Consider the following 11840-nt stretch of genomic DNA (forward strand, 5'->3'; position numbering starts at 1 on the left):
AAAAATGTAACTTGCTTTGGTTAGTAGATAAATTAGATAAAAATAAAATTTCATTTCATTTCCAGCCTAAGTCTTAAAACACCTTGTGTTTTTCTGTTTGCATTATTGTGTTCCTGCCATCTCTGTGAAAAATGTATGTGTGAGCTTGCCCACTAGTCCCAAGAGATGATGAACATGTGAAGCAAATCCACTCAGTCAAGCTGCTCCAATCAACCAGCCTAGATCAATAGCCCAGCAACCACAGACACATGAGTGAGTCCAGTCAAGATCCACAAAGCAAGCTGATCAATCCAAGCCTGAATCGTCAGCTGACTCCTATACTCCCAGCTAATCTGCAGGTGCATTAGAAAAATAATGCTTGTTATTGGACACTGAGATTTTGTGGTTATTTTTTATGAAACAACAGTTAACTGATATGGTCTAATAGAATGTATAAACATTAGAATTATATGCTTAAATTTCATTTATGAATTAAATTTCATTCATTTTCAATAATTTCATTGAAAATATTGAAAAGGTGGTATTTCCTTGCTTAGTTTTAAATTAACTGTTGTAGACTCAGCTGTGTGCAGCTTACTAGAAATTAAATCTTTATGAATATAAAATAAATGTACAAGAATAAAAGATGAGAGAGGGGCAGAACAAGATGGCTAAGTAGAGGGCTCCACGAATCATCCCCCCAAGCAGGAACACCAATTTTGCAATTGTCTATACAAAGGGAGCACCTTCATAGGAACTAAAAATCAGGTGAACACTCGCAGTGCCTGGCTTGAATTCACATCACTGAAAAGGGGACTGAAGAGGATAGGAAATACAGTCTTGAATTACTGATACCACCCCTTCCTTGTCCTCTGGCAATGGCCATATGGCATGAAGAATCCATGCACTTGGGAAAGGGAGAGAGCAATGATCTCAAAGGAAGACTTTGCCCCAACTCACCAACCATTCCACAGCACTCCAAATCAGGAAGTGATCATTCATCTCTAAATTGTGTAGTCCGGGTGAACTTTTTAGAAGGCAAAGATGTAGATATAGCAACTCGACAGCTACCTTTAACAATTTACCTAAGTACCATGTTAATCTGGCCACTACCCAAATAGAGATTCAGTAAGAGATAGACAAGTCAATGTCTTAGCATTGAATTCAGTGCTGCCCTGTTACAATACAAAGCAAAACAAGGCTGAATGCAGCTGATGCCCACCCATGGAGGGAGCATTTGGACTAGCTCTAGCCAGAGGGCCATCCCCGTGGGGAGCCTGAGTTCCAGCAAGCCTTGCCACTTTAGGCTGAAGGGCTCTGAGGTCCTAATTGAACTTGAGGGGCAGTCTAGGCCACAAGGACTGCAATTCCTAGGCAAGTTGAAGTACTGAGCTGGGCTCAAAGCCAGTGGGCTTTCGGGGCACTCAAACTACTGAGATATCAGCAGAGACAGCTAAGGGAATGCTTGGACCACCCATCCCCTAACCCAAAGTTATATAGCTTGCAGCTCCAAAATAGACCCCTTCCTTCTGTTTGAGGAGAGGAGAATGAGGAGTAAACAGAATTTTCTCTTGCATCTTGGGTACCAGCTCAGCCACAGAAGTATAGGACACCAGTCAGGATCATGAGGTTCCCATTCCAGGACCTAAGCTACTGGACAGCATTTCTAGACAAACTCTGAGACAGAAAGCAACCTGCTGCCTTGAAGGGAAGGACCCATCCTGGCAGAGTTTATAACCTACTGACAAAAGAGCCCCTTGGCCCTAAGAAGCAGCAGTGATACCGAAGTAGTATGCCTTGGCCTTGGGTGAGATTCTGAGACATGCTGGCTTCAGGTAAGAAGCCAGCATATTCCCATACTTCCATACTCTGATGGCTGCAGATGGGGACTCCTTCTGCTTGAGAAAAGCAGAGAGAAAACCAAAGGGGACTTTGTCTTGCACCACAGGTACCAGTTGGGCCACAGTGGAGAAGAGCACCAAGCAGGCTCTTGGAGTCCCTGATTCCAGGCCTTGACTCTTGGACAGCATTTCTGGACCTGCCCTGGGTGAAAGGGGAGCCCACTGCCCTGAAGGGTGAGTCCCAGGCCTGACAGCAATAATCATAAGCTGACTGAAGAGCCCTTGGGCCTTAAGTGAATATTGGAAGTAGTCTGGCAGTACTCCTCATAGGCCTGTAATGGTGGTAACCACAGGGTGAGATTCCTCTGCCTATGGAGAGGGCAAGGAAGACTGGGAAGAACTGTGTCATGTGGTTTGAATGCAAGCTCAGCTACAGTAGAATAGAACATCAGTTAGGTTTCTAAGTTTTCTGGTTCCTGGATGGCATCTCTGGACCTGCCCAGGGACTCGGGGAACTCACCACCTGAAGGGAAGGATACAAGCCTGATGTGCTTCATTACCTTCTGATTATAGAGCCCTAGGTCCTTGAGCAAACATAGACAGTAACCAGGTAGTGGTTAAAGCGAGCCTTGGGTGATACCCAGTTCTGTGCTGGCTTCAGGTCTGACCCAGCACAGTCTCAGTGGTGGTAGCCACAGAGCTACTTGTGTCATGCCACTCCCAGCTCCACGTGGTTCAGCACAGAGAGAGAGAGAGAGAGACTTCATTTGTTTGGGGAAAAGAACAAGTGTCTCTGCCTAGTAATCCAGATAATTCTTCTGAATCTTATCAGAGACTCTACAAGAACCACAACATTACTGGGCTTGGTGTGCCCCCTAATGCAGATATAGCTTACATCACAACACTAAAGTCCTCTTGAATACCAGGAAAGCCTTCACATGGAGGATGGGTGCAAAGAAGTGCAGACAGTGAAGACTACAACAACTGCCTAACTCTTCAATGCTCAGACACTGATGAACATCTACAAGCATCAAGATCATCCAGAAAACCAAAACCTTACCAAATGAACTACATAAGGTACCAGGGACCAAATCTGGTGAAATGGAGCTATGTGACTTTTCAGATAGAGAGTTCAAAATAACTTTTTTGAGGAAACTCAAAGAAATTCAAGATAACACAAAGAAGGAATTTGGAATTCTATTAGATAAATTTAACAAAGAGATTGAAATAACTAAAAAGAATCAAGCAGAAATTCTGGAGCTAAAAAAATGCAATGGACATACTGAAGAATGCATCAGAGTCTCTTAATTATAGAATGAATCAAGCAGAAGAAAGAATCAGTGAGTTTGAAGGAATGAAGCATGACTACAAGATCTAGAAAATAGCATCAAAACTCCAAAAGGTCAAGGATAAATAACTCCTAAAAGCAGCGAGAGAAAATAAACAAATAATATACAATAGAGTTCCAATGCTTTTGACAGCAGACATTTCAGTGGAAACCTCACAGGCCAAGACAGAGTGGTATGACATAGTCCAAGTATTTAAGGGAAAAACATGTTTACCCTAGAATAGTATATCCAGTCAAAAGTTATTCAAAAAGGAAGAAGAAATAAGGACTTTCTCATGCAAAAAAAAAAGAAGCTGAAAAGTTTCCTCAACACCAGACCTGTCTGACAAGAAATGCTAATGGGAGAACTTCGACCAAAAAGAAAAGGACATTAATGAGCAATAAATAATCATCTGAAGGTACAAAACTCACTGGTAATAGTAAGTACACAGAAAAACACAGAATATTATAGCACTATAACTGTAGTGTGTAAACTACTACTATCATTTAAAAAGACTAAACAGTAAACCAAACAAAAATAATAACTACAACAACTACTCAAGACATAGACAGTACAATAAGCTATAAATAGAAATAACAAAAAGTTAAAAAGTTGACAGATGAAGTTACAGAGCACCAATTTTATCAGCTTTTTTTTTTTTTGCTCATTTGCTTGTGCAAGCAGTGTTAAGTTGTTATCAGCTTAAAATAATGAGTTATAAGATAATATTTGCAGACTTCATGGTAACCTCAAATAGACATTTCTCTTCTTTTATCATGACCAAGTGGGGTTTATCCCTCAAATGGGAGGATGATTCAACACACACAAATCAGTCAGTGTGATACATCATTTCAACAGAAAGAAGAAGAAAAACCATATGATTATTTCAATGGATGCTGAAAAACATTTGATAAAATTCAACATCCCTTCAGGATCAAACCCCTCAAAAAACTGAGTATAGATGGATCATATCTCAACAAAATAAAAGTCACGTATGACAGACCCACAGCTAGTATCATACTGAACGGGAAAAAATAGAAAGCCTTTACTCTAAGATCTGGAAAATGAAAAGGATGCCCATTGTCATCACCGTGATTCAACATAGTACTGGAAGTCCTAATGTTACGGGATTCTTGGGGTGTTACTTTTCTGACCAGGAACCTCTGTGTCCAGTGGTGCCTTTGCTCGAGTTTTGCTTGGGCCTGCTGGGCTCATTCCACCCTCTCAGTCTGGCAGGCTGCACTCAGCTCATGCTACCAACCTGGATCCCATGCCTCCAAGGGAGACTGCAAATCAAGTGTGGCGTGGTGGTGCGGGGGTGTGAGTGAGCATGGAGTCCGGCCACTGCATACAGACACACTGGCTGCTGGGTAGGCAGCTCTAGGTGCTGGCATGGGCACTGGCTCTCTGTGAGGCTCTGGCTGGACCAGGTGCACCACAAGCAACTTCCTCAGCTAGCACTGGAGAATGAGGTGGCTCCTGGAAGCTTGAAGATGCCAGGAATCACAGGGCTCCAAAGAGGGAGTCACAGCCCTGGCTCAGGGAAGCTCCAGGTCTGGGCTTCCTGAAGGGCTGCAGCTCTTCCCTCCTTCTCTTTGCTCTCAATGTGGTGAGCAAGGGGCATGTTTCAGCCCTGTTTGTGTTACAGCCCCGTTTGTGTTACAGCTCTTTTAGCCTCATCATTCAGCAGGTCCCAAGTTCTTGTCCTGTGACCAGGAAGAATGAAGTATGCAGACAAGTGGAGGGTAAGCAAGACAAAGAGTTTTATTGAGCAATAGAACAGCTCAGAGGAGACCAGCAGTGGGCAGTGGGTAGCTCCTCTTCATAGCCAGGGTGTCCCAATGAGTGTTCAGCTCTCAGCAGACAGGGTGGCTCCTCTCTGCAGCTGGTTGTCCCCTCATCTCTTCAGTTGTTTTGCTTACTATAGCTCTGTAGTATAATTTGAAACAGCGTGGTACTGGCATAAACACGACAGCATGGTACTGGCATAGACCAGTGGAAAAGAATAGAAAAGGCCAAAACAAATCCATACATCTGCAGTGAACTCATTTTTGACAATGGTACCAAGAACATACACTGGGGAAGGGACAGATTCTTCAATAAATGGCACTGGGAAAACTGGAAATTCATATGCAGAAGAATGAGAATAGACCCCTCTCACCATATAGAAAAATCAAATCAATATAGATTAAAGAATTAAATCTAAGACCGTAATCTGTGAAACTACTACAAGAAAACATTGGGGAAATTCTCCAGGACATTGGAGTGGGCAATAGTTTCATTGGTAATACCCCACAAGTACAGGCAACCAAAGTAAAACTGGACAAAGGGGATCATATCAAGTTTAAAAGCTTCTGCACAGAAAAAGAAACAATCAACAAAATGAAGAGACAGCAAACAGAATGGGAGAAAATATTTGCAAACTATCCATCTGACAGGGGTTTAATAATCAGAATATATAAGGAGCTCAAACAATTCTATTTTAAAAATGTAATAATTTGATTTTTAAATGGGCAAAAGGTCTAAATAGACATTTCTCAAAAGAAGACATGCAAATGGCAAACAGGTATATGGAAAAGTGCTCAACATCACTGATCATCACAGAAATGCACACAAAAACTACAGTGAGATATCATCTCACCCCAGTTAAAATGTCTTTTAACCAAAACACAGGAGGACCCAAGCCAGTCTGATATGGTTTGAATGTCTGTTGCCTCCAAATCTCATGTTGAAATGTTGGAGGTGAGGCCTGGTGGGAGGTGAATGGATCATGAGGGCAGATCTCTCATGAATGGTTTAGCATCATCCTCTTGATGATAAGTGAGTTCTCACTCAGTTAGTTTACACAAGCTCTGGTTGTTTAAAAGAGTCTGGACTTCCCCTTTCTCTCTCACTCTTGATCCTGCTCTTGCCATGTGACATGATGGCTCCCCTTCACCTTCCACCATGACTGGAAGCTTCCTGAGACTCTCACCAGAAGCAGATGCTGGCACTATGCCTCATGTACTGTCTGAAGAACTGTAAGCCAATTAAATCTCTTTGCTGAAAATAAATCACCCAATCTCAGGTATTTCTTTATAGCAACATAAAAATGGACTAACGCACACTTTGCCTAGAAATCTCCTCAGCTAAATATTCAGTGTCATCACTCACAGTTTCTACCGTACACAAAACACTGTAACACAGTTCACTGAAGTTCTTTGCCACTTTATAACAAGAATCACCTTTCCCCAAGTTTCCAATAACATATTCATTTCTTAGACTTCACAAGAATCACTCTTAATGTTCATATTTCTAGCAAGTACCTCAAAACTATTCCACCTGCTACCCATTACTCAGTTTCAAAGCCACTTCCACATGTATTTTTTACAACAGCACCCCACTTCTCAGTACCAAAATCTGTATTAGTCAGTTCATGCTCCCATAACAAAATACCATCGACTGAGTGGCTTAAACAAAAGAAGTTTATTTATCACAATTTTAGAGGCTGAAAATCTGAGATTACAGTGCCAGTATGGTCAGGTTCTTGCGGAGGCTCTCTTCCTGGTTTGCAGATGACTGCCCTTTCACTGTGTTCTCATGTAACAGAGAGAGAGAGCACTCTCTCTGGTGTCTCTTTTTATAAGGGCACTAATTCCATCATGGGGGCCCCACACTCAAGACCTCATCTAAACCTAATTATATCCCACAGGTCCCATCTTCAAATACCATCATATTGGGCAACACTTTTAGTATTTGAGGAAAGTTAGTAGGCCATTCTTTCCTCATCCATTTTTGGAGACTTTGGTATTTTATCAGTCCCTTAGAACAAAGCTCAGTGTAAGACATAAAGGGTCAATGAAGAGCCCTGTATCCAAAATCAGGAAAGCTGATACTTAAGGTTGGCTCACTCAACATCTATTTCACACTCCTTTTATATTCCTTTCTCAATTACAGTAGATGGAAGGCTAAAAGCTCAACCTTGCAGATTCTCTTGTGGTTAAAGGGGCCATATAGATTCAGCGTTGGCCAATTAAATATAAGCAGAAGTGTGCTATCTCTTCATCTTCCACGAAACTGAAGGTGAAGGAGTCTGTTTTTTTGATGGCATCAGGGAACTCCACTCCCATCCCTAAACCATCTGTCTCAAAATCTCTTATTGTTTTGGACGGAAAAAAATTAATTATACCCTTTATTTTTAAATGCCTATAGATTTCTGTTAAAATGCCAATGAATAGAATCTTGCCTTTAAATCCATGTTTGAGTCCTAAGTCTGACATTGTCTGTATGCATTTAAGCAAGCATGTATATACTGTCTTTTTTCCTTTATGTTAATTGTGGGTGCTGGATTAGATACTCTAGATCTTTTTCAAGGGCTCATATTTCACACTTGGATTTTCTTATGAAAGTATCTCTTCTAATTAATCTCTTTTTAATCTCAAATAACCCATCTGAAAACCAGTTTCATTCCTTTAATTTACCTTTACTCATTTGAATAACATTTGTTGGACCTAGCCTACTGTCTTATGCATGGAAAATCCTTAAAAGGTAATTGCTGAACTTAATATAGTTAGAAAGGCTACAATAGAATAATATTACTTATCTATGTTATCTCCTTCTGGATTACCCTTCTCTAATCTTCAGCAGCTTGCTAAATAAAACAAGACTTGCAAACAATTACATTATGTTGGCTCTTCAGGTTTTCACACTTGTAGCCTCATTATATCTTCAAGATTCTTTTCCTAGAACATCTTTCCATGTCACAAATAAGTGTAGTTTAATTATAGCAAGTTTAGATATTAGAGAAATATACCAATTTTGATGTATTTGCAGCCAGAATTTTTTATTCTATATATTACAAACTTGAGATAATGCTGGAAGAGTACTTTTTTTTCAATTTAATATTTTATCATAATATCCTATCTCTTTAAACAGTCTTTGGAACATGATGTAAAATAATCAGGCTGGGCACAGTGGCTTACACCAGTAATCCCAACACTTTGAGAGGCCAAGGCTGGAGGATCGCTTGAGCCCAGGACTTCAAGACCTGCCTGGGCAATATGGCAAAATACCCTCTACAAAAATACAAAAATTAGTTGGGCAGGGTAGTGCTTGCCTGTAGTTCCAGCTACTTGGGAAGCTGAGGTAGGAGGATTGCTTCAGCCTGAGAAGTTGAGACTTCAGTAAGCTGTGATTGTGTCACTGCATGTCAGCCTAAGTGACAGAGTAAGACCCTATCTCAAAAAAAATTTTAATTTTTTTAAAAAATTAGTAATATTTCCTGAGGAAGATTTTTCCCAAGAAAAGTATTTTATTAATGAATTATATAGAACATTAAGCACAGAAAAAATTATGATTTTCTGAGATTATATAGCAAGTTATTTAAGATTACTGATTCCTCCTTACCTTTTTTCACTGAAATATGAAGTAGATGTCCCCCAAAATAATGATGCTAATAATCAATCATTGTGACATATATCGCATAAAACTCAATTTGTCACATCAAATTCTCAAACAAATTACACAGAAGATACATAGGTAAGAAGTAGATACATAATAAATATGTATGTATGTATGTATGAATGAACGGATGTACGAATTCAATGAGTGGATGGATGGATTTGATGAATCCGAGCCAGACTGCTTTTTCCATTAGGGAAAATAGCTACAGTTTACATTAGAGAATGGTATCTGGGAAAAGATTAAAAACTTATTATTTCCTTTATGCTTCAGAGCTAAAACAGGGAGCTTGATACAGTCCTTAGAATCCATGAACGACTTGACAGGAATATATCTTTTACCAAATCCAAAGTTATCCCAGCTGCATTTCACTGGCCGAGCTCATGCTGTTGCAGAAACACTGTAACCAATACAAGAAGCCACTGAAAAGCTTGGTGCAGTACAAATAAATACTAATAGTGATATGCATGCCATTAGCATTTGTACCACATTCTGCCTCCTGCATAATGGTAAACAAAAATGTTTGTTCCTTCTAACCCTAACTAACTCTAGATAACTTCATTTCTGGAGAAGGTATTTGGATACCAAGTAAAATCAATTATAATATCTGAAACACAGAAACTTACGCATTAGGAATAAACTTTTGATATTGTAAAGAAAGAGACATTCAGAAAAGGAATTCAAGAGTATCTACCTTGCTATACCTGGAGGAAGAAACTACAATTCTCTCTAGTGATCTCTTTGTGCCATATACATTACCTGCTATACTAGCTTGTGGTGCCAGTAAGACATGCTCTCTTACACAACTATGTTCCATCACTTCATTCAATAATATTTAAGTATATAAGTGTTAAATATTTACGGCTTAAATGATAAAGACTCCTTTAAGAATCACAATAATATTGTCAAGTTAAAAATTAACATTTTATGCAATTATAGAGGCAGTAAGAAAGAAAAAGAAATTAGCATTAATTTCTTTTTATTATTATTATACTTTAAGTTCTGGGACACATGTGCACAACGTGCAGGTTTGTCACATTGGTATACTTGTGCCATGTTGGTTTGCTGCAACCACCAACTCATCATTTACATTAGGTATTTCTCCTAATGTTATTCCACCCCCAGGTCCCCACCCCCTAAGAGACCCCGGTGTGTGAAGTTCCCCTCCCTGTGTCCACGTGTTCTCATTGTTCAAATCCCACTTCTGAGTGAGAACATGCAGTGTTTGGTTTTCTCTTTTTGGTGTTACTTTGCTGAGAATGATGGTTTCCAGCTTCATTCATGTCCCTGCAAAGGACATGAACTCATCCTTTTTTGTGGCTGCATAGTATCTCATGGTGTGTATGTGCCACATTTTCTTAATCCAGTCTATCATTGATGGGCATTTGGGTTGTTTCCAAGACTTTGCTATTGTGAACAGTGCTACGATAAACATACGTGTGCGTGTGTCTTTAGAGTAGAATGATCTATAATCCTTTGGGTATATACCCAGAAATGGGATTGCTGGGTCAAATGGTATTTCTAGTTCTAGATCCTTGAGGAATAACCACACTGTCTTCCACAATGGTTGAACTAATTTACACTCCCACCAACAGTGTAAAAGCATTCCTATTTCTCCACATCCTCTCCAGCATCTGTTGTTTCCTGACTTTTTAATGATTGCCATTCTAATTGGCGTGAGATGGTATCTCATTGTGGTTTTGATTTGCATTTCTCTAATGACCAATGATGATGAGCATTTTTTCATGAGTTTGTTGGCGGCATAAATGTCTTCTTTTTAAAAAGTATCTGTTCATATCCTTCACCCACTTTTTGATGGGGTTGTTTTTTTCTTGTAAATTTGTTTAAGTTTCTTGTAGATTCTGGATATTATCCCTTTGTCACATGGATAGATGGCAAAATTTTTCTCCCATTCTCTAGGTTTCCTCTTCACTCTGATGATAGTTTCTTTTGCTGTGCAGAAGCTCTTTAGTTTAATCAGATCCCATTTGTCAATTTTGGCTTTTATTGCCCTTCCTTTTGGTGTTTTAGTCATGAAGTCTTTGACCATGCCTATGTCCTGAATAGTATTGACTAGGTTTTCTTCTAGGGTTTCTATGGTTTTAGGTCTAACATTTAAGTCTTTAATCCATCTTGAGTTAATTTTTGTATAACATGTAAGGAAGGGATCAAGTTTCAGCTTTCTGCATATGGCTAGCCGGTTTTCCCAGCACCATTTATTAAATGGGGAATCCTTTCCTCATTTCTTGTTTTTGTCAGGTTTGTCAAAGATCAGATGGTTGTAGATGTATGGTGTTATTTCTGAGGCCTCTGTTCTGTTCCATTGGTCTATATATCTGTTTTGGTAACAGTGCCATGCTGTTTTGGTTACTGTGGCCTTGTAATACAGTTTGAAGTCAGGTAGCGTGATGCCTCCAGCTTTGTTCTTTTGGCTTAGGATTGTTTTGGCTATGCAGGCTCTCTTTTGGTTCCATATGAAATTTAAAGTAGTTTTTTCCAATTCTGTGAAGAAAGTCACTGGTAGCTTGATGGAGATAGCATTGAATCTATAAATTACCTTGGGCAGTGTGGCCATTTTCACGATGTTGATTCTTCCTATCCGTGAGCATGGAATGTTCTTTGATTTGTTTGTGTCCTCTTTTATTTCGTTGAGCAATGGTTTGTAGTTCTCCTTAAAGAGGTCCTTCACATCCCTTGTAAGTTGGATTCCTAGATATTTTATTCTCTTTGAAGCCATTGTGAATGGCAGTTCACTCATGATTTCGCTCTCTGTTTGTTATTGGTGTATAGGAATGCTGGTGATTTTCGCACACTGATTTTGTATTCTGAGACTCTGAAGTTGCTTATCAGCTTAAGGAGATTTTGGGTTGAGACGATGGGGTTTTCTAAATATACAATCATGTCACCTGCAAAAAGAGACAATTTGACTTCCTCTTTTCCTAATTGAATATCCTTTATTTCTTTCTCCTGCCTGACTGCCCTGGCCTGAACTTCCATCACTACATTGAATAGGAGTGGTGAGAGAAGGCATCCTTGTCTTGTGCTAGTTTGCAAAGGGAATGCTTCCAGTGTTTGCCCATTCAGTATGATATTGGCTGTGGGTTTGTCATAAATAGCTCTTATTATTTTGAGATACATCCCATGAATACCTAGTTTATTGAGAGTTGTTAGCATGAAGGGCTGCTGAATTTTGTCAAAGGCCTTTTCTGCATCTAATTGAGATAATCATGTGGTTTTTGTCTTTGGTTCTGTT

The 11840-nt window shown here is 39.6% G+C and overlaps 2 annotated features.

Annotated features, from left to right (window-relative positions):
* Nucleotides 971-1472: an enhancer, noted in NCBI's record as "NANOG hESC enhancer chr3:19709582-19710083 (GRCh37/hg19 assembly coordinates)". NCBI's record gives its function as "activates a minimal SCP1, AML or CMV promoter by ChIP-STARR-seq in naive H9 embryonic stem cells {active_cell/tissue: H9 hESC(naive)}" and the evidence as "EXISTENCE:reporter gene assay evidence [ECO:0000049][PMID:30033119]".
* Nucleotides 4592-5092: an enhancer, noted in NCBI's record as "H3K27ac hESC enhancer chr3:19713203-19713703 (GRCh37/hg19 assembly coordinates)". NCBI's record gives its function as "activates a minimal SCP1, AML or CMV promoter by ChIP-STARR-seq in naive H9 embryonic stem cells {active_cell/tissue: H9 hESC(naive)}" and the evidence as "EXISTENCE:reporter gene assay evidence [ECO:0000049][PMID:30033119]".

The sequence above is a fragment of the Homo sapiens genome, chromosome 3, assembly GCF_000001405.40.
Source record: "Homo sapiens chromosome 3, GRCh38.p14 Primary Assembly".
Lineage (NCBI taxonomy): Eukaryota > Metazoa > Chordata > Mammalia > Primates > Hominidae > Homo > Homo sapiens.